We start from the raw sequence: 20298 nt of genomic DNA, 5'->3' as shown, positions 1-20298 counted from the left end.
CCCACAATGACCTTCCAACATCTATTCTATACACATTCATTTGGCCTTAGGCAATTAACATTTAAAATGACTCTGGTCATTTTTTTTTTTTTTTTGACGGAGTGTTGCTCTGTCGCCCAGGCTGGAGTGCAATGGCATGATCTCGACTCACTGCAACCTCCGCCTCCTGGGTTCAAGTGATTCTCCTGCCTCGGCCTCCCAAGTAGCTGGGACTACAGGCACCCACCACCACGCCTGGCTAATTTTTCGTATTTTTAGTAGAGACGGGGTTTCACTGTGTTAGCCAGGATGGTCTCCATCTCCTGACTCGTGATCCACCCGCCTCGGCCTCCCAAAGTGCTGGGATTACAGGCATGAGCCACCGCGCCCAGCCAGCTCTGGTCATTTTGCTTCAAATAATATAGAGACAGTCCCCAACTTAAAACAGTTCAACTTATGATTTTTTGATTGTTTAATCTTCTCACTTTATGATGGGTTTATCTAATTATTAAGGGCTTTTTTGTTTTGAGACAGAATCTCACTGTCACCCAGGCTGGAGTGCAGTGGCATGATCTCCGCTTACTGCAACCTCCACCCCCCAGGTTCAAGCGGCTCTCGTGCCTCAGCCTCCCGAGTAGCTGGGATTACAGGCGCCCGTCACAATGCTTGGCTAATTTTTGTGTTTTCAGTAGAGATAGGGTTTCATCATGTTGGCCAGGCTGGTCTCGAACTCCTGACCTCAAGTGATCCACCCACCTTGGCCTCCCAAAGTGCTGGCATTACAGGCATGAGCCACTGTGCCTGGCCAAGTGCATTTTTGAGTTACAATATTTTCGACTTATGATGGATTCATCAGGATGTAACCCCACTGTAAGTCAAGGAGCATCTGTATATTATTCCTAAAAGGTTCTGGATGAATATAATTTTAATTTTAAATGCAATAAAATTGCTGATATTTATCACAGTGAATCTCATTATAAAATGAATTCCCTATTATCTAAGTTAAAATAAAAGTCTAGCTTTTCACATGCCAGGAAAAATACTTTGCATCCTGGCTAAACAGAAAGGAAATTATCTTTAAATCACAAAAGAAACATTGATGTTCTCACTGTGGGATGACAAAGACTCTCTCCTTTGACCAAACTTGAAACCGGTTCTTCTGGGTTTGTTTGCTTTTGGAGACAGGGTCTCACTCTGTCACCCAGGCTGCAGTGCAGTGGTACAATCACGGTTTACTACCACCTCAACCTCCTGGGCTCAAGTGATCCTGCCACCTCAGCCTCCCAGGTAGGTGGGACAGCTGGCTAATTTTTGTATTTTTAGTAAAGAGGGGGTTTCGCCATGTTGCCCAGGCTGGTCTCGAACTCCTGGGCTCAAGCGATCCTCCCGTCTCAGCCTCCCAAAGTGCTGGGATTACAGGCATGAGCCACCGTGCCCGGCTCTGAGTCCTCTTTCTGACTAGGCCTCGACTTTGGGTTCTATCTTGACCTGCTTAGTCCAGTCTCAGCAAAAATCCTGCTGAGTCATTTTAGTGAAAATCCCCTACCCTTGGTGTCTGATCCCCCTACCCTCGATATCTTATCATGCTGGCCTGCCTTCAACAAGAATCCCCTCCAACCTGGATTTTTCCTCTTAGTAACTTTCCACCCATTGACCCACACTCTGCTCCTTGGCTATAAATTTCCACTTGTCCTTGTTGCATTAGGAGTTCAACCTGATCTCTCCCCACTATTGCAAAACTCCCACTGTAGTGGTCCCTCTTGAATAAAGCCTTCCCTACCATCTTTAACAAGTATCAGATAATTTTTTTTTCTTTTTTCTTTTTTTTTTTTTTTGAGACAGGGTCTCGCTCTGTCACCCAACCTCCACCTCCCGAGTTCAAGCAATTCTCCCTGCCTCAGCCTCTGGAGTAGCTGGGATTAAAGGCATCCGCCACCATGCCCGGCTAATTTTTGTATTTTTACAAAGAGATAGGGTTTCACCATGTTGGCCAGGCTGGTCTTGAACTCCTGACCTCAGGTGATCCGCCCACCTCGGCCTCCCAAACTGTTGGGATTACAGGTGTGAGCCACCAACCATGTCTAGCCAGTTTTTTTTTTTCTTTAAGAGGAAAAAGGAAGTTCTGGAATAGGGAAGAAGTAGAAGAATTCTGGTGTTAAACTGAAACTGGTAGTATCAGTATGAACTAATAATTTTTTCACAATTATGAGTTTTTGAGGGTAATGAAAGTATACATGTTTAAATTTCCAAGTTGGCAGCCTGTTAGGAGTCACAGGATACGAGCATGTTGTGAGCAGTGAGAGCTGGCTGGCAGGTGTGAGGTGGCCATAGTCAGCTTCTCATCTCTTCTCTAGAAGTTGCAGATCTAGATGGTTTCAGAATTTAAAGGTTTTTCAATTTTAGGAAGGTAAAAAGGAGTCTATACCATACATTGTACAATACAGAGTATTAGAGAGCCACAACATAGCTGCAGTGAAATACGTGAACATTTCCAGTAAGTAGGATAAGGACTATGGAATCAAGTCAGTTCAGGTCTGGTTTTGCCACAAAATGAGTTGTGGCAGCAAATATATGAAAAAGAAATTCAATTTTCAGAGTTTTTTGAGTTCAGGATTCAGAGAAAAGCTTATGGTCCTGCGGGGCGTTGATGACAAAGGTCAGGTGCTGAAGTTCGATGACAAAGGTCAGGGTTTGAATCTTGACTAGAGCATTCACAAGCTTCATGAGCAGGGGTAAGTTTCTTTACACTTCTAAACTTCATTGTAACCACCTATAAAAAAAGAGCAGTATCTACTTCACAGAGATTTGGTGAGGGTTAACATGTGCTTAACATTTAAACCAGAGGCAGTGGCTCACGCCCGTAATCCTAGCTACTTGGGAGGCTGAGATGGGAAGATCATGTGAGGCCAGGAGTTCGAGACCAGCCTGGGCAATGTGGCAAGACCCCCATCTCTATAAATAAAAACTTAATAAACCACAATATTTAACAGTCACATATTCTTAAAACTTAGAAGAGGGGCTAATTAAATAGCAATCACTAATGACGCTGATGATGCTCAAACAGAATAGTCTGAGGCCATGGGATACACAATCGAACTGTCAGTTACTGCTTGGTCAGCCCTGAGAACCCATTCCCTGGGCTCATCTGATGATTCTGCAATAGTTAAAACTCAACTACTAGGCATGGTCTAAGAGAACCAAATTTCAGGAAGCATTTTCTTCAAGCTTCCTTGGATTATCAGCCTGTTATAAAACTCATGTGGAAAGAAACTTTTATCTGTCTCTCTATCCCCCATAGCACATATTATAGTGCCTCGCCTATGGTAGCTTCTCAATGATTTTTTCAAATAATAGATAATGCTTTCAGAAGTTTGTTTTTTTCTTTGTTTGTTGTTGATTTCTTTTTTTTTCTTTTTTTTTTTTTTTTTTGAGACAGAGTCCCACTCTGTTGCCCAGGCTGAAGTGCAGTGGTGTGATCTCGGCTCACTGCAACCTACGCCTCCTGGGTTCAAACGATTCTCCTGCCTCAGCCTCCTGAGTAGCTGGGATTACAGGTGCCCATCACCACGCCCAGCTAATTTTTGTATTTTTAGTAGAGATGAGGTTTCACCATGTTGGACTAGCTGGTCTCCAACTCCTGACCTTAAGTGACCTGCCCGCCTCAGCCTCCCAAAGTGCTGGGATGACAGGCATGAGCCACCACACTCAGTCCAGAAGTTCGTATTTTTTAAAAAGAGTAGTTGGAAAATTTCAGGTTTTGTCTCTTACATTCTACATTAGGTTTAGGGACAAATTCTTTGTACTCAGACACCTTAATTATATATCAGCTTAAATAGGAGGATAAGTCTTTTTTAGTTAATTAGTTAGCCTAAAAATAAGTATGAAATGCCTGATTTTTATAACCTTTCTGTGCTTTCTTCACGTACATTGAAAGTATCTTTCCTATGTATTAATGCCGGATACTCAGTTTAAATGAAAAGGTTCTAACAACCATTTTTTTTTAAATAATAAACTTACCAAGAAAAACATTTTGGTTTTAAATGAATGTCCTCGCCAGAGGGTTCTGTTTTGATAAGTCTTCTGGTATATTGTGTATTTTCCAGTTCTGCTTTCCAATTATTTGACTTCATTTTTTCCCTACTTACTTGGCTTCTCTACATTCCTTAATTTTGACTTTCTATTTTTATTCTGCATTTCTCAATATACTTCATCTTATTCAAATTTACCAATTAAGTTTTTCCCTGGTATCAGTTCAAAGATGACAAAGGGAGCAGGTGAGGGGGCTTGGAAAACTCTGACTTAGTGGATGCAAACAGGTCATTAGACTCAAATACACTCATGTGCATTTCTTCTGTTTTTCTCCTAAGTTTGACGATCCTTTCATTCTCCTTTGTTTCTGGTTTGTTTGTTTGTTTTTGAGACAGAGTCTCTCTCTGTTGCCCAGGCTGGAGTGCAGTGGCGCAATCTTGGCTCACCAAGTGGCGGCAACCTCCACCTCCTGAGTTCAAGCGATTCTCCTGCCTCAGCCTCCTGAGTAGCTGGGATTACAGGCATGCACCACCACACCCGGCTAATTTTTGTATTTTTAGTAGAGACGGGGTTTCACCATGTTGGCCAGGTTGGTCTCGAACTCCTGACCTCAGATGATCCGCCTGCCTCAGCTTCCCAAAGTTCTAGGATTACAGGCGTGAGCCACTGCGCCTGGCCTCTGTTTGTTTTTTATACTTTGTCCTTTTATTGGGAAGCTGGAGACAATTACTATATTTGCAAAAGGTATGATTTGCTTTGTCTAGAAAGGTTCCATATAGCTTCACATTCACCAAGACCTAGGGTGAATAGACACAGAAATATAAATGACTTTCAATGTAATGCAGGGAGCCTTCCCTATGGTGGGACCAGGAGGTAGCCAAGAGCGTTTAGCTAGCCACCTGAGAGCAGGAGCTCACAGACATATTTCTTTATACCTGGTTTACATAGTGGCTGATAACCCTGGCTTCGTTTTAATCCTCTTTTCGACTAATTTACAGGCGGCAGAAAAAATAATTATTTCTTCAATTAATCAAGTCACCTGATAATAAGTGTCTTTTTTTTTTTTTTTTTTTTTTTTTTGAGATGGAGTTTTGCTCTTGTTGCCCAGGCTGGAGTGCAATGGCACAATCTTGGCTCACTGCCACCTCCGCCTCCTAGGTTCAAGTGATTGATAGTAAGTACCTTTTAATTAAAGCAGAGGCTGAGGACATATTTTGTACTGTCTTCAATCAACAGAGACCATGCCTCCTAAAATGTAGAGTCTCCTCTGTCTGGATTACTTGAAGGCTTTCTTTGTCCATTGTTCAGCTTTAGCAGTTGGTGGGGGTTGGGGGGTGGTTTGGGAGTGGCAATAATGAGATAAAGAGCAATACATGGAAAAATTACCCGCAAGGCACCAAAAAACCCCAACAGAATGATCCAGCTCATTCTGATAATTTTTATTAATATCATCAACTAAATGCTTTCGATTAATATCACCAACTAAATGTCTGAGTTGGCAATGTACTTTTCCCATTAGCCATGTTTAAATTGGTAAAATATAACTGAGAACATATTATTTTAAGCTTTTTAAAAAAAATTTTCAACTTTTATTTCAGATACAGGGGGTACATGCGCAGGTTTGTTCCATGTGTATGTTGCACCTAGGCAGTGTGCACAGTACCCAATAGGTAGTTTTTCAACCCGCGCCCACTTCCCCCTCCGTCTAGTAGTTTACAGTGTCTGTTGTCCCCATGTTTATGTCCATGTGTGCAGGTGAGCTCTTCAACTTCTTTTCTCTAGTTGTAGTTATAAGATTTCAATCTGTTGAAAACACTGAATTTTAGAATAAGTCATTAATTTTTTGATTTACTAGGGTTAAACAATGATTAATTGAATAGTCCTTCAGAAGAAACAATCTGACATGTGAATGGAGACCTACCAAATGGTTGTGAATGTCCTTCAAAGAATCACTTTTTTAAAAACTTAGTTTCTACTTTTAAAATGTTTGTTTTGTTTCATGAGCAGTTTCTCACTGCCTTAAGAGCTTAAGAGTTTTCCTTTGTTCAAGAACATTTATTTCTGAATTTAAGAAGGATCAAAATAGGCTGCAGATTTGGAATCTGCCAAACTTGGGGCTGCCTCCACTCTAGGCCAGACCATGTTTTGGTTATTAATAACAGTGAGCCAATTATGCCTGTAATCCCAGCACTTTGGGAGGCTGAGGCAAGAGGACTGCTTGAGTCCAAGAGTTCAAGACCAGCCCAGGCAACATAGGGAGACCCAGTCTCCACAAAAAAATAAAAAATCATCTGGGCATGGTGGTGCGTGACTATAGTTCCAGCTACTTAGGAGACTGAGGCAGGAGGATCGCTTGAGCCAGGAGGTCGAGGCTGCAGTGAGCTGTGATTGTGCCACTGCACTCCAGCCCAGGTGACAGAGTGACACCCCATTTCAAAAAAACAAAAACAAAAAGAGTGAGTCAGAACTTCAGAGACAAAGAGCCAAATACTGGGGATTTCACGCACACTTTATTCCCTATCAAATTCAGTGCCCCAAAACATCTAGATATTACACGACTTCTTTCAGTCCAAAGTCCATATTATGATACTCACAGATGCTGTGAGTCAGGAATTTAGACAGCACGCAGAAGGGATGGCTTATCTGGGCTTCAGCTGGGAAAACCCGAAGGCTGCAGGGTGACTAGATCTTGGGTCTGGAAACATCCGAGGGCCCCTTCACTCCTAAGTCTGATGCTTGGGACAGACAACTGCACAACTAGGACTGCCCATCTGAGCAGCTTGGGGTGGCCTCTTCCTGGGCTCCCTCACATCACGGCAGCTTCGGGCTAGTTGGATCCTTCCACCACTTCAGTGAAAAGACAGCAGCCGCATGGCCTTTTATGACCCAGGCTCAGAAGTCACACAGCTGGCCTAGTCTGCCACAATCAATTAGGCTAAGTAGCCAGGGCCTGCCCAGACTCCAGAAGGAAATTTCGACTCCTGCTCCTGACAGAGGGGTGCCAAGGTCACACTGTAGAAAAGTATCCTCATGGCCATCTTTGGAAAATGCGATCTTCTCTGGGATGTTAATGGGGGGTTGTAGATGATTTATTGCTAAATTATATTTTAAAGCACTCTTTTATGGCCAGTCAGATTTTGTCTCTTTTGGGGGTTAATGTCCATTTTTCTGTCTTTGTTAGTCTCTTTCTCGCTGTAGGCTTCCCTCAGACGTGTGGTGATCTTTGGTTGTTCAGTCAGGTTTGGGAAGGAAGCAGGCTAAAGACTGGGAGCCCTGTGGGGCTCTTGGCGGAGAGAGCTCCCTGAATTCCTGATTACACTGGGGCTTTTCAGTGGGCGCTAATACCACACCAGCTTCCCTGATTCTCCTGAAATAGTTCCATCAGTGTCTTTAGAGAAGAACCCCCTTTTGTCCTTTACCTTGCCGATAGGGATAACTGCCTGCTGTTAATGTTCTAGAGGTCAGAACAGAGGGTGGCCCTTCTGTCTGCAGACTTTTAGTTCATTCTCCTGTTGGCACCCAGCCAGCCTTCCTGCCACTCCTGCCCGCTACTGGTCTGCTGCGTTGCTGAGGTAGGAGTCCCCTATCCCCCCACCCCGGGCTCTGCTGCACTATGCTCAGCACCCTCCTCTGCTACAGTGCCTTCTGAGAGTGTTCTAGACCTGAGAACTGTCCAATATAGGAACTGGCAGCCATTACAAGAAATTTATTTATTTATTTTTTTGTTTTACTTTTTTGAGATGGAGTCTTGCTCTGTCGCCCAGGCTGGAGTGCAGAGGCACGATCCCAGCTCACTGCAACCTCCGCCTCCCAGGTTCAAGAGATTCTCCTATTTCAGCCTCCCGAGTAGCTGGGATTACAGATGTGCACCACCGCGCCTGGCTAATTTTTGTATTTTTAGTAGACACAGGGTTTCACCATGTTGGCCAGGCTGGTCTCGAACTGCTGACCTCAGGTGATCCACCAGCCTGAGCCTCTCAAAGTGCTGGGATTACAGGTGTGAGCCATAGCGCCTGGCCCCATTAAGGGAAATTTAGATGTTCCATTTTATTTTTATATCAATGATAAATTCCCCAAGGGTAATAACTGTATCATGGTTATTAGGAGAATACCCTTAAGCTGAGGACATACATACTTAAGTATCTAGGGGTAAAGAGGCATGATGTCTGCAATTTATTCTCAAATGGTTCAGCAAAAAAGCATAAAGCATGTGTATGTGAGAGAGAGAGAGAGAGAGAGGAATAGGGATGGATGGAGAGGGAAAAATAAAGCAAATACGGCAAAGTAACTCATAAAAATCTTCCTATAACTAGAACTATTCTATTCTTTAAAAAAATACAAAAATCTCATACAAAATATGCTACTATATGCAGAGCTTCCTAATGGGGTCTGACACCCGTGGTACCCTTCATGTAATGATTTTTGTTCTTCTGATAGGAAAAGGGGGTACGAAGGTGATTGGGATAGAGTTCTTAATTAAGGTAGTAGTCCCTTGATCCCCTCTCTTTAGAAATCCTGTTTGTTTGCTCTTTTGAAACATATATCTGCACAGACTAGTGAGAAAACTGCTGCTCTGTATAACAAAGCCAAAGCAAGCTGTGAATGGATTTCTCTGTGGGCCCAGAAGTTGTGCCCTGTGCTTGGGCAATGCCCTCTGCCACTGCCTCAGTCACTGAGTTCTATGAGTTCTATGTCCTGTATCATGATTCCTCAAAAGATTGAAGAGTCCATTAGTACAATACCTGGTACATTGTAGGTATTCAATAAATATTTCCTGGCTGGGCATGGTGGCTCACACCTGTAATCCCAGTGGGAAGCCAAGGTGGGAGGATCACTTGAGCTCAGATGTTCGAGATCAGCCTGGGCAACATGGCGAAACCCCATCTCTACTAAAAATACAAACAAATTAGCCAGCTATGGTGGCACGTGCCTGTAGTCCCAGCTACTTGGGAGGCTGAGGCATGAAAATCGCTTGAACCTGGGAGGTGGAGGTTGCAGTGAGCCGAGATCGTGCCACTGCACTCCAGCCTGGGCGACACAGTGAGACTTTGCCTCAACAACAACAAAAAATTTCCTGGCTGGGTGCGGTGGCTCACACCTGTAATCCCAGTGGTAGGCCGGGGCGGGAGGATCACTTGAGCTCAGGAGTTCGAGACCAGCCTGGGCCATATGGTGAAACCCCGTCTCTACAAAAAATATACAAATTAGCCGGATGTGGCAGTGTGCACCTGTAGTCCCAGGTACTCGGAGGCTGAGAGGTGCAAGGATCGCTTGAGCCCAGGAGGTCAAGGCTGCAGAGAGCCAAGATTGCGCCACTGCACTCCAGCCTAGGTGACAGAGTGAGAGCCTGTGTCACATACACACACACAAAAAAACCTCGGATCGCAACTGAAAATTAAAACACCCAGTAAGTTTAGTTACAAACTTAACATAGCAAATAAAATTCAGAGGTTCAAGATAACATTTGCAGGTAACGGTAAATCCCTCTTACAGGCCAACTTCATTCTATATATTTGTTTAAGGGTATTCAATCCTTAAAATCATGAGAAGAGCCAAAAGGCAGGTAGGAAGACAATACAGTGGCAGTAACAGTCAATATGGTGTGTCAGGCCAGAGAGTGGAAGAGACATGATGTGTTCAGAACAGATGTCACAAATAAAGCTGTGACGAGCTAGAGCATGTGAGTAACAAGCACTATGCAGCCAAAGCCGCCATGCATCCATATCAACCTAATTCCAGAAGGGAGTTTAGAATCTAGTCCTAACGGTAAATTGGTGAGTTACAGGATGCCCTGTTGTCATGGAAGCAGGAATAGCTAATGGTCACACTGTACTCATATTTGAGGTTAACTGAGGCAAATCATTTAGTTAGCCATCACAGTGATCAAAGGGAATCCAAAGCAAGTCACTCTCAAAGCACAAAAGAGCTGAAAGTGCTATGTTTCTTGGAAAATGATCAGTTTTGTACAGCTGAGACCTTCAGCCAATAAACTTGAAGATAATTAACATTCAAGGTTAAGAGCTCCCTACCCAGCTTTTATTCTTAGCAGAAAGCTGACTTCATCAAGGAAATGCTGTGTCACTAACTTCTCATAGTAAATTCATAACCAACATCTACCAAGCACCTACCATGTGTTATGCACTATGCCATACGTTCTCAATCTCATCAATGCAACCATCCTATGATTAGCCACTAGCATTTCTATTTTGTAGATAAGGACACTGAAGTGTAGTGGGATTAAGTGATTTGCCCAGGCTCACACTGCTGGTAGGCATCAGAAATTAAGACTGGAGTACAAGTCTGTATATACTGCTTCTCATATTCCCAGAGATGATAATGCAGACTAACAAGTAGTGGTTTTCAGAAGTAGAATTATTTCATTGTAAGTAAGTGGAGTAGGTATCAATCTGATAGTTCTGAAATAATAAAACTAGATAAGCATTAGATTATACCATTTCCTGATTGTGTAACAGAATAAATTTAGACAAAACCTCAGCATTGCTAATAGAGACTATATTTGCTATAAAGAATTGCACTGGGGACAATGGTATACTATGTTAAACTGAAAAGAGCGTAGGTTTAAAAGCTCAATCTTGCTTGTAATCCCAGCACTTTGAGAGGCCAAGGCGGGCAGATTACTTGAGGTCAGGAGTTCGAGACCAGCTTGGACAACATGGTGAAACCCCATTTCTACTAAAAATACAAAAAATTAGCCAGGCGTGGTGATGGGTGCCTGTTATCCCAGATACTTGGGAGGCTAAGGCAGGAGAATCACTTGAACCTGGAGGTGGAGGTTGCAGTGAGCCAAGATCACACCACGCACTCCAGCCTGGACGACAGAGGAACACTCTGTCTCCAAAAAATAAACAAACAAACAAACCTCACTCTACCTGAATTTTAACCATGGCTTTGCCCCTAACTTTGCTTAGGTAAGAGACTTAAACTATCTAAGCTTTAGACTCTTCATCCAAGAAATGGAAACACTTAATGTGGACGCTGTGAGAATTACAGCTAACCACTATTGTGTTTAGCAGAGAGTGGCACACAAATGTAAGTTCCCTTGGCCTCATAAAAAGAATAATTTCTGGTTCCCTTTGGAAGAGGTGGCCAAGATGTTATACCAAAAACTAGCTGATGACTGGCATAGTCTCTTCCTTACTTGGGGCTTCTACTTTCTCATGTGTAAAATTGGGAAGATTACAGATGATCTCTGTATTAGTTTGTTCTCATGTGGCTAGAAAGAACTACCTGAGACTGAGTAACTTATGAAGGAAAGAGGTTTAATTGACTCACAGTCCACATGGATAGGGAGGCCTCAGGAAACTTACAATCATGGCAGAGGCGAAGGGGAAGCAAGCACATCTTCACATGGTGGCAGGAGAGAGAGAGAGCAAAGGGAGAAGTGCTACACACTTTTAAACAACCAGATCTCATGAGAACTCACTCGCTATCATGAGAACAGCAAGGGGGAAATCTGCCCCCATGATCCAATCACCTCCCACCAGGCCCCACCACCAACACTGAAAATCATAACTCAACATGAGATTTGGGTGGAGACACAGAGCCAAACCACATCAGTCTCTAAGCTCAAGTTCCCACTGAATTAGTCTAAGAGGATAAGATTTTTGTTTGTCTCTCTATACAGTTATTTATCATACACTAACCTTGCCTACTAATATAAATTCTAAGAAAACTCTGGAGAGCAGTGCTAGGAGTAAACAGCCAAGGAAAAAAGGTGGAAGTCAAGAAAAAGGGGCCAGGCGCGGTGGCTCACGCCTGTAATCCCAGCACTTTGGGAGGCCGAGGCGGGCAGATCACGAGGTCAGGAGATCGAGACCACGGTGAAACCCTGTCTCTACTAAAAATACAAAAAATTAGCCGCGTGCAGTGGCGGGCGCCTGCAGTCCCAGCTACTGGGGAGGCTGAGGCAGGAGAATGGCGTGAACCCGGAAGGCGGAGCTTGCAGTGAGCCAAGATCGCGCCACTCCACTCCAGCCTGGGCGACAGAGCAAGACTTTGTCAAAAAAAAAAAAAAGAAAAAGAAAAAGAGTATGCACATTTACATTTTGTTCTTCTCTTTGTGATCTCCATCCAGAAAGCCTCCAACAACATTTTGGATAAAGGACAATTGGGTTAACACCTTACCTGTTCCCAGAAACCACCCTTATTTCAAAAACCTTTAAGGGCGAGGTAGGGACAGCAGCAAAAAGATACCACAAAATTATATGATTCATCCTTCTGACTAGCATACGTAAATTTATGTATTTGTCCCAGCTTCTCATTTATCTATGAGCTCCTCAAAGGCAATGAATATGCCTTGGCAATTTCCCAATGCTTCTTAGTTTCCATTTCATTCCAAATCCAGAACTTTCAACTAATGCTGATGGACTCCAGAATGACTTCGGTGTTAACCTTTGGCATCTCACTCACAGACTCTATCCCCTAAAGTGGTTCATAGCTCTTGGGCAAAAATTTCACCAGCTCTAACACTGTGGTTTTAACTCTGGAAGAATATTATTACACAATCGCCTGGGTAACCCAAAAGCACCAGCACCTAGACTCCTACCCGCAGCAATTGATTTAATTGGTTTATGTAGGGAGCAGGTGTCACTCATTTCAGGCGCTCCCCAGACAATTCTCATGAGCAGCCAGGACTGAGAACCATGGACTAGCATCTAATCATAGAAAATTCAATGAGGGTAAACAAATCAAAGAACTCCTCAAGCCCAGACAATGGCTATTAAGCATCCCCAATTTTTTATTTACCCATGTACTGTTGTCTTTATTTTCACCTTTGAGTTTTATTTCAGCCTCTTGGGAAACTGATCACAAACATCTTTGTACTCTGTAAGAGACTTTTCAGTGTCAGCTCTTTTTTTCCCTTTCACTTTCAGATGATCTTAAATGGGGAAGATAAAAACTAAACAAACTCGAGAAGGAAACGGCTGTGCTTCAGGATGTGGTAATGCTTGGGAGGCGGTGACAATGCACTCGATGGTCCTTTCCTCCAGTTTGTTTTGCTCACACACTGCGCCCAATCCCTCACCTACTTTCTCTGCTATAAAGAGGTGGTAAGACGATCAGGCGGGCAGACATGTGGCTCTACTACCTATTATACGTGTGAGTCATCTTCTTACCCGCTCAGAACTTCAGTTTCCTAATTGGTAAAATGGGCATGGCTGTTGTGAGAATTAGATGATATCCTGTTTTAGTTGGTAAGTACTCAGTAAGTGCTAGTCGAATCTATTGAATCTTTTTCAGGTGCCATATAAAGTCCTTTTTTTTTTGTTTGTTTTTTTTGAGACGGAGTCTCACTCCATCGCCCAAGCTGGAGTGCAGTGGCGCGACCTCGGTTCACTGCAACCTCTGCCTCCCTGGTTCAAGCGATTCTCCTGCCTCAGCCTCCTAAGTTGCTGGGATTACAGGCACGTGCCACCGCCTGGCTAATTTTTTTTTGTATTTTATTAGAGATGGGGTTTCACCATGTTTGCCAGACTGGTCTCAAACTGCTGATCTCAGGTGATCTGCCTGCCTCGGCCTCCCAAAGTGTTGGGATTATAGGTGTGAGTCACTGTGCCCAGCCAAGAGTCCATTTTAATTTCCTTCTCCAATAGCTTCACTGAAGTCAAGCTCAGGTCAAAGAAACAGGAATAGGAGTATGTAGGCCAGAGATAACACGGTAGAGAATATGTAAGGAGCTCTAACAAAAGAAGCAGTACCCTGGCCATGAAGGGCAATTTCTAGAGAACAGGAGACTCCCTGAGACAAGCAGCTTCCTCCCAGAAGAGTCTATTACAAATAAAGTGCTCACATGAGCACATCACATGACCAATGCAGGAACAGTAATACAGCAATAACCACTTTGCTTTCTATTTAACAGCAGAATCAGGAGGAGAAATTAACCAAAGTTATACAAAATCCACAGGCTGGTATTAAGAAATATCTGCTAGCAAGCTTAAGGAAACATTATACCCTACTAGGACAGATCCAAGAAAAGGTTCAGATAGAAGCCTGAGTGTTCTCTGGTCTATGAAAATGTAACAATTGTGGGAAAATATATGTAAGTTACAAATTTCAAAAGGCCCTACTGTTTTCTGGCCAGCAACACATGGCAAAATATTTAACTTCATGGTATGGGAAAATGTTAGAGAGATGATAATTTCTTCCCAACAGTGAGACTATTATATACTGACCTCCATGCCCTGGTAAGAGAGAAAGCAACACTGGTACAACTCAAATGGTTAAGGAGAATCATAGATCAAGTCCAAGAATGAAAATAAAATCACAACTGTTTAGGTGACCCTTAGGGAAATAACATACCACTGAGTTAGAACCCTAAGTATTCAATTAGAGCGAATATAAATGCTGACCTGTGCAAATGTAATAGTTTACTACAATTTTTCTGCCATTCATTATGGCAAAAGGTTTAATCTCAGAGTTAAGATGAGGCAATGACCAGGAATGGGGTTCTCCTTGAGGGATATGAAGGACATCCACCATGGGTCACAATCAAACCCAGCTCTCCCACGAAGGCAAGTATAGCGTAAACTAGCCTTCCTGCCATAAAAGCGAAATAGGCTAACTGAAGATACTTCAGTGCTAGTTTTTCCTTTGTTTGTTTGTTTGTGACAGAGTCTCATTCTATCACCCAGGCTGGAGTGCAGTGGCACGATCTCGGCTCACTGCAACCTCCACCTCCCAGGTTCAAACGATTCTCCTGCCTCAGCCTCCTGAGTAGCTGGGACTACAGATATGAGCCACCACTCCCAGCTGATTTTTTGTATTGTATTGTATTTTTTTTTAGTAGATATGGGGTTTCACCATGTTGGCCAGGCTGGTCTCGAACTCCTGACCTCAAGTGATTCACCCACCTTGTCCTCCCAAAGTGCTGAGATTACAGGCATGAGCCACCATGCCCGGCCTCAATGCCAGTTTCAATGCCAAGTACATGGCAAAGATGTAAACCCTAAAACACCACGTAACCCATCCACAGTTCCCTTAGCACACTTTTGATGATATGCTATTCAAGGTGCACAATGACTAATTTATCAAGAAGAATTAGTACACAAGAAAAGCAAGAATTATTTAAAATGTAAAGTAATAAATAAGGAACTGCCCTCACCAAATTTCAACATAAATTACAAAGTTAAAATGTGATATTTAGTTAAAATCAGAAAAGTTGCCATGTTGACTAGAATCCACAAATACAAACTACTCTGAGAGCTTAGCATATGATCAAAGAGAAACGGCCAAGATAAAAGAGAAACAGCCAAGTTTCAAGAGAAAAACTTGAGGTCTTAATAATTGTTGGGCAACTTGACAGCAGAACAGGGTAAAAATGAGTTAGCTACAAAGGCTCATCAGAAAATGGCAATAGATTCCAGAGAGATTTAATAACTACTTACAAACTCTGCTATAGGTGACAAATCTGACCATGATAAAAGCACCGTAAATGATATAGGTAACACTGAGCATATGAAAACTCAGACTGTGCACTAGATAAAAAGGAAACCAACATACAGTGTTAACACATGTAAATATATGGGCAAAAGCAGGAAGGGCTATCACAAAAAAACAGATGAATTACCCATATTACAGGTAATATAGCAATTCTTTCCAAATGTCTTCAGTTTTATACTTTGATAATTACTTTGCCAAAGGAAACGATATTTACACAGCACAAGAGCTTACTATGCCAAATATACACAGGAATTTATGCAAATGATAAAAACTTCAGATTCTGGTTACAAAATGGCCAATGGCACTTTACACAGAACAAAAAGCAGACAAAAAACCCAAGCAGAGGAAAAAGCACTTTTCATTCCTATGTTACCTATGATGCGATTAAAATCATAAAACCTCATTTTGGCAGGGCTACGGAGAAACTGATACAGATAAACTTTGCTGACAGCCCTGGATAAATTAAACCTATAAACTGTCAACAGCTTTCATATGGTAATTCCACTCTGAGGCAGATATCCTATAGGTAAACCACCCGATTACCTGGAAAAGCCTTCACTACCCCAAAAGTCACACTCCAGATAGTCAAAGTTTATTGTTACTAGCATACAGGAGAAACAGAGCTTTACCACTTAAATGGAAATTAAGACCAATCACTGCTCAGTTCTTTAAAGAGGGAACTGATTTGTCTTAGAACAGGGAACAAGAAACTTTCTGTACGGGACCAGATAGTAAACATTTTTGGCTTTGTGGGCCATATAGTCTCTGTCAATACTCAATTTCTGCTGTTGTGGATGGACAAAAGCCACAAACAATATGTGATGAATGAGCATGGCTGTGTTCCAGTAAAACTTTATTTACAAAAACAGGAGTTGTCAAAACCCGCAGTGTGCAACACAAAGAATGAGCCCTAATGTAAACTATGGACTTTAGGTGATAATGATGGGTCAATGCTGGTTCATCAATTATAACAAATGTCCCACACTGGTGCAGGATACTGATGGCGGCAGAGACTGTGTTTGGGGGTGGGGAGGGGTTCTGTGGGCACTCTGTACTTCCGCTCAATTTTGCTGTAAACCTAAAACTGCCTCTCAGTATCTGTGGGGGATTGGTTCCTGGACACCCTTGGATATCAAAATCCATGGATACTCGAGTCTCTTACATAAAATGGCCTAGAGTATTTGCATATGACCTATGCACATCCTTCCATATACTTTAAATTATCTCTAGACTAGTTACAAGGCCTACACATCATTTCATTTACATGGATTCAACATAGTGTTCAAGGTGAGGCAAATTCAAATTTTGCTTTTTGGAAATTTGTGGAATTTTTTTTCTGAATATTTTCTATCTGAGGTTGATTGAATCCATGGATGTGGAACCCACAGATATGGAGGACGAACTGTACTCTTTTTAAAAAACAGTCTATTAATTAGAAAAAAAAAAACAGGTGGCCAGCCCTCAGGCTATAGGTTGACATTCTTAGACCAGGGTATTCCTAAAATAAAAGGATTTGCCCAACTCTAAAATCAGATTACCATGGAAGTAAAATAATGGAATGCCTATACATATACAGGAAAAGAAAAAGCAGTGATATTTTCAGATTCCATCCAGTAACAAAACCAAGGTTTCCCAAACCTTGCCAACAGTCTGATCAATTTTCCAAAAGCTTAATGGGAGGAAACCACCCAACCATCAATAGATCAGTAACTGCAGCTGTCTCCACTTTCAAAAGCACACAAAACATAAGTGCTACAAAGACAGTGAGGCCAAAGCCATGACTTTGGTGCCTGAGAGCTGCCCCAGAGCCAGATAAACCACGCCATGTTAAAATGCAGCCTTATCAGATCTTAAAGGCCCAAAAAGCCCTCACTTCCTCCCTTCTTTCCTTCCTTTCCTCCTTCCGTCTTCTACCTTTCCTCCCTTCTTTCCTTCCCTTTCTACTTCCCTCCCTCCTTCTTTTTTTGAGACATGGTCTTGCTCTATTGTCCAGGCTGGAGTGCAGTGACGCGATCCCAGCTCACTGCAGCCTCAACTTCCCAGGCTCAAGCGATCCTCCCATCTCAGCTTCCCATGTAGCCGGGACCACAGGGGTGCACCACTATGCCTGGATAATTTTTTTATTTTTTTGTAGAGACAGGGGTCTCACTGTGTTGCCCGAGCTGGTCTCAAACTCCTGGACTCAAGCGATCCTCCTGCCTCAGCCTCTCAAAATGCTGGGATTACAGGCATTAGCCACAGTGCCTGGACCAATTCTTTCTTTAAATTTAAAAACTGGTCAAGATGCAATAAGCCAAGTTAGATATCTTTACCCTCAACTAAATTTTTCTCTTCCCCTTTAATTCTGAATAGTTGATCCCTTTCTCCAAACAGGTTGGTCTAATTCTTGGTGACACCTTGTAGCAGAAAAACTACTGCTTACAGGGAAAAAAAAAAAAAATCTGTCATTTACATATGTAAAGGTACAAAATAAACACACTCGGAAGCAGAATGAGATTGTTTTTCCCTTTTCCTAACATAATTTTTTTAAAAACCTTTCCATTTTCTCCAAGAACGCAATCACTGTTGTCCCCAGTGGTGATCAGGCTTCAAGGAGCAAAATGACTTAAAAAGCCAAGACTTTGCGAAAGGGAGTCATTTGGAACCAAAGTATCTCCAAAGTATCTTAAAATATGTTCTAAAGGAAAAGAAGATGGCTGGGCCCTTAAACTTTAAGAATAGTAAGAATGCGGAAACTGGCCGCTACCTTCTAAGAGCTAAAGGCTCTGAGGTTCACAGAGCCGGTGTGATTATGACAGAAATCAAAATATTTAGTTTTGTGAAAAGACGGCAGGGCTATCAGCAATCTGCTTTCTGGTGGTTTTGAGAGATGCTATATTTACACATGGGGACACTATGGAAGTTTAAACTTGGCTGGGCACAGTGGCTCACGTCTGTAATCCCAACACTTTGGGAGGCAGAGGCGGGTGGATCACCTGAAGTCAGGAGTTCGAGACCAGCCTGGCCAAGACGGTGAAACCCCGTCTCTGCTAAAAATACAAAAATTAGCCGGGCGTGGTGGCGCATGCCTGTAGTCCCAGGTACTCGGGAGGCTGAGGCACGAGAACTGCTTGAACCTGGGAGGCGGAGGTTGCAGTGAGCCGAGATGGTGCCACTGCACTCTAGCCTGGGCGACAGAGTGAGACTCCGTCTCAAAATAAATAAATAAATAAATAAATAAATAAATAAATAAATAAATAAAATAAACTTATATAACTGACTAAATGAAAGTGGCATAATGTTTAATAACCTCGATATGGAGTCAGGCATGCCATCAGTAATTGCCATTTATGGAGCACCTGCTCTGTGCAGAGCAAGCTGAGCTGAGGAAGCTGTAAGAGGTTACAAAAAAGAGGTGAGCGCCTGCCCTTTGGAAAGAGACAATTGAGGATAAAATCTAAGAAAAGGAGGCAGGAGCAAAATCTCTTTAATGCAAGTGTGGCTGTGCAAAAGTAACTGGAAAATCAAACAAATGGGACGTCAGTCTGCAGGGAGGGGAGAAAAGTGGTTAATATGGGAACCAGAAGCCGACAGGGCGAGACTGAAAGATGAAAAGCAAGTCCAAAAGAAAATGTGAATCATTTCCTACCAACTCATTCAACATTCAGAAGGTTCTATCTTTATGCCATAATAGTCCAAGTTCTCCTTTTCTTATATAATTAAGAGAATTTTTAATTTATCACAACTGCTTAAGGGAAAGAGAACTCAAATTTGTGCAAATATAACAAGGAGCCACCATAACATTAACTGCCAGTCAAAAACAATACATTGATCCAAAAATCCAGAGAGGTTTATAGAAAAAAATATGGAACAAGACATGTGAAAGTTATATTTCAGGAAATAAATTCAGGCCAGGCACGGTGACTCATGCCTGTAATCCCAGCACTTTGGGAGGCAGAGGCGGGTAGATCACCTAAGGTCAGGAGTTCGAGACCAGCCTGGGCAATAGGGCAAAACCCCGTCTCTACTAAAAATACAAAAATAAGCCAGGCGTGGTGGCAGACACCTGTAATCCCAGCTACTCGGGAGGCTGAGGCAGGAGAATCACCTGAACCCGGGAGGCAGAGGTTGCAGTGAGCCAAGACCAAGCCGTTGCACTCTGGCCTAGGTGACAGAGTGAGACTCTGTCTCAAATAAGTAAATAAATAAATAAATAAATTCAACAAATGTGTGGTTGGTTTTTTTGTTTTTGTTTGTTTGTTTGTTTTGTTTTTTGAGACGGAGTCTCACTCTAGCCAGGCTGGAGTGCAGTGGCGCAATCTTGGCCCACTGCAACCTCCACCTCCCAGGTTCAAGTAATTCTCCTGCCTCAGCCTCCCGAGTACCTGGGACTATAGGCGCCCACCACCATGCCTGGCTAATTTTTGTATTTTTAGTAGAGACGGGGTTTCACCACGTTGGCCAGGATGGTCTCAATCTCTTGACCTCGTGATCCACCCACCTCGGCCTCCCAAAGTGCTGGGATTACAGGCGTGAGCCACTGCACCCAGCCAATAAATGTTTATTCTGAACATTAAAATGTGATGTTTTCATTGCTCCCAATAAGGAATTAACATATATTATCTGAAGCCACACTGTCCAATATAAATATGTGAGCCAGGCCAGGGGCTGTGGCTCATGCCTGTAATCCTAGCACTTTGGGAGGCTGAGGTGGGCAGATCACCTGAGGTCGAGAGTTCAAGACCAGCCTGACCAACATGGAGAAACCCCATCTCTACTAAAAATACAAAATTAGCTGGGCATGTAGGCGCATGCCTGTAATCCCAGCTACTTGGGAGGCTGAGGCAGGAG

At 42.8% G+C, this 20298-nt stretch overlaps 1 protein-coding gene across 2 annotated transcripts in view, besides 1 other annotated feature; it reads right to left on the bottom strand.

Annotated features, from left to right (window-relative positions):
- The window catches only part of PDK3 (pyruvate dehydrogenase kinase 3), an 85181-nt gene that overhangs the window by 57374 nt on the left and 7509 nt on the right, over positions 1-20298 (bottom strand). The window lies entirely within an intron of this gene.
- Positions 896-1859: an enhancer, noted in NCBI's record as "OCT4-NANOG-H3K27ac-H3K4me1 hESC enhancer chrX:24509351-24510314 (GRCh37/hg19 assembly coordinates)". NCBI's record gives its function as "activates a minimal SCP1, AML or CMV promoter by ChIP-STARR-seq in primed H9 embryonic stem cells {active_cell/tissue: H9 hESC(primed)}" and the evidence as "EXISTENCE:reporter gene assay evidence [ECO:0000049][PMID:30033119]".

This window comes from Homo sapiens, chromosome X (assembly GCF_000001405.40).
Source record: "Homo sapiens chromosome X, GRCh38.p14 Primary Assembly".
NCBI classification, from domain to species: Eukaryota; Metazoa; Chordata; class Mammalia; order Primates; family Hominidae; genus Homo; species Homo sapiens.
This window is presented reverse-complemented; position numbering and strand designations above follow the sequence as displayed.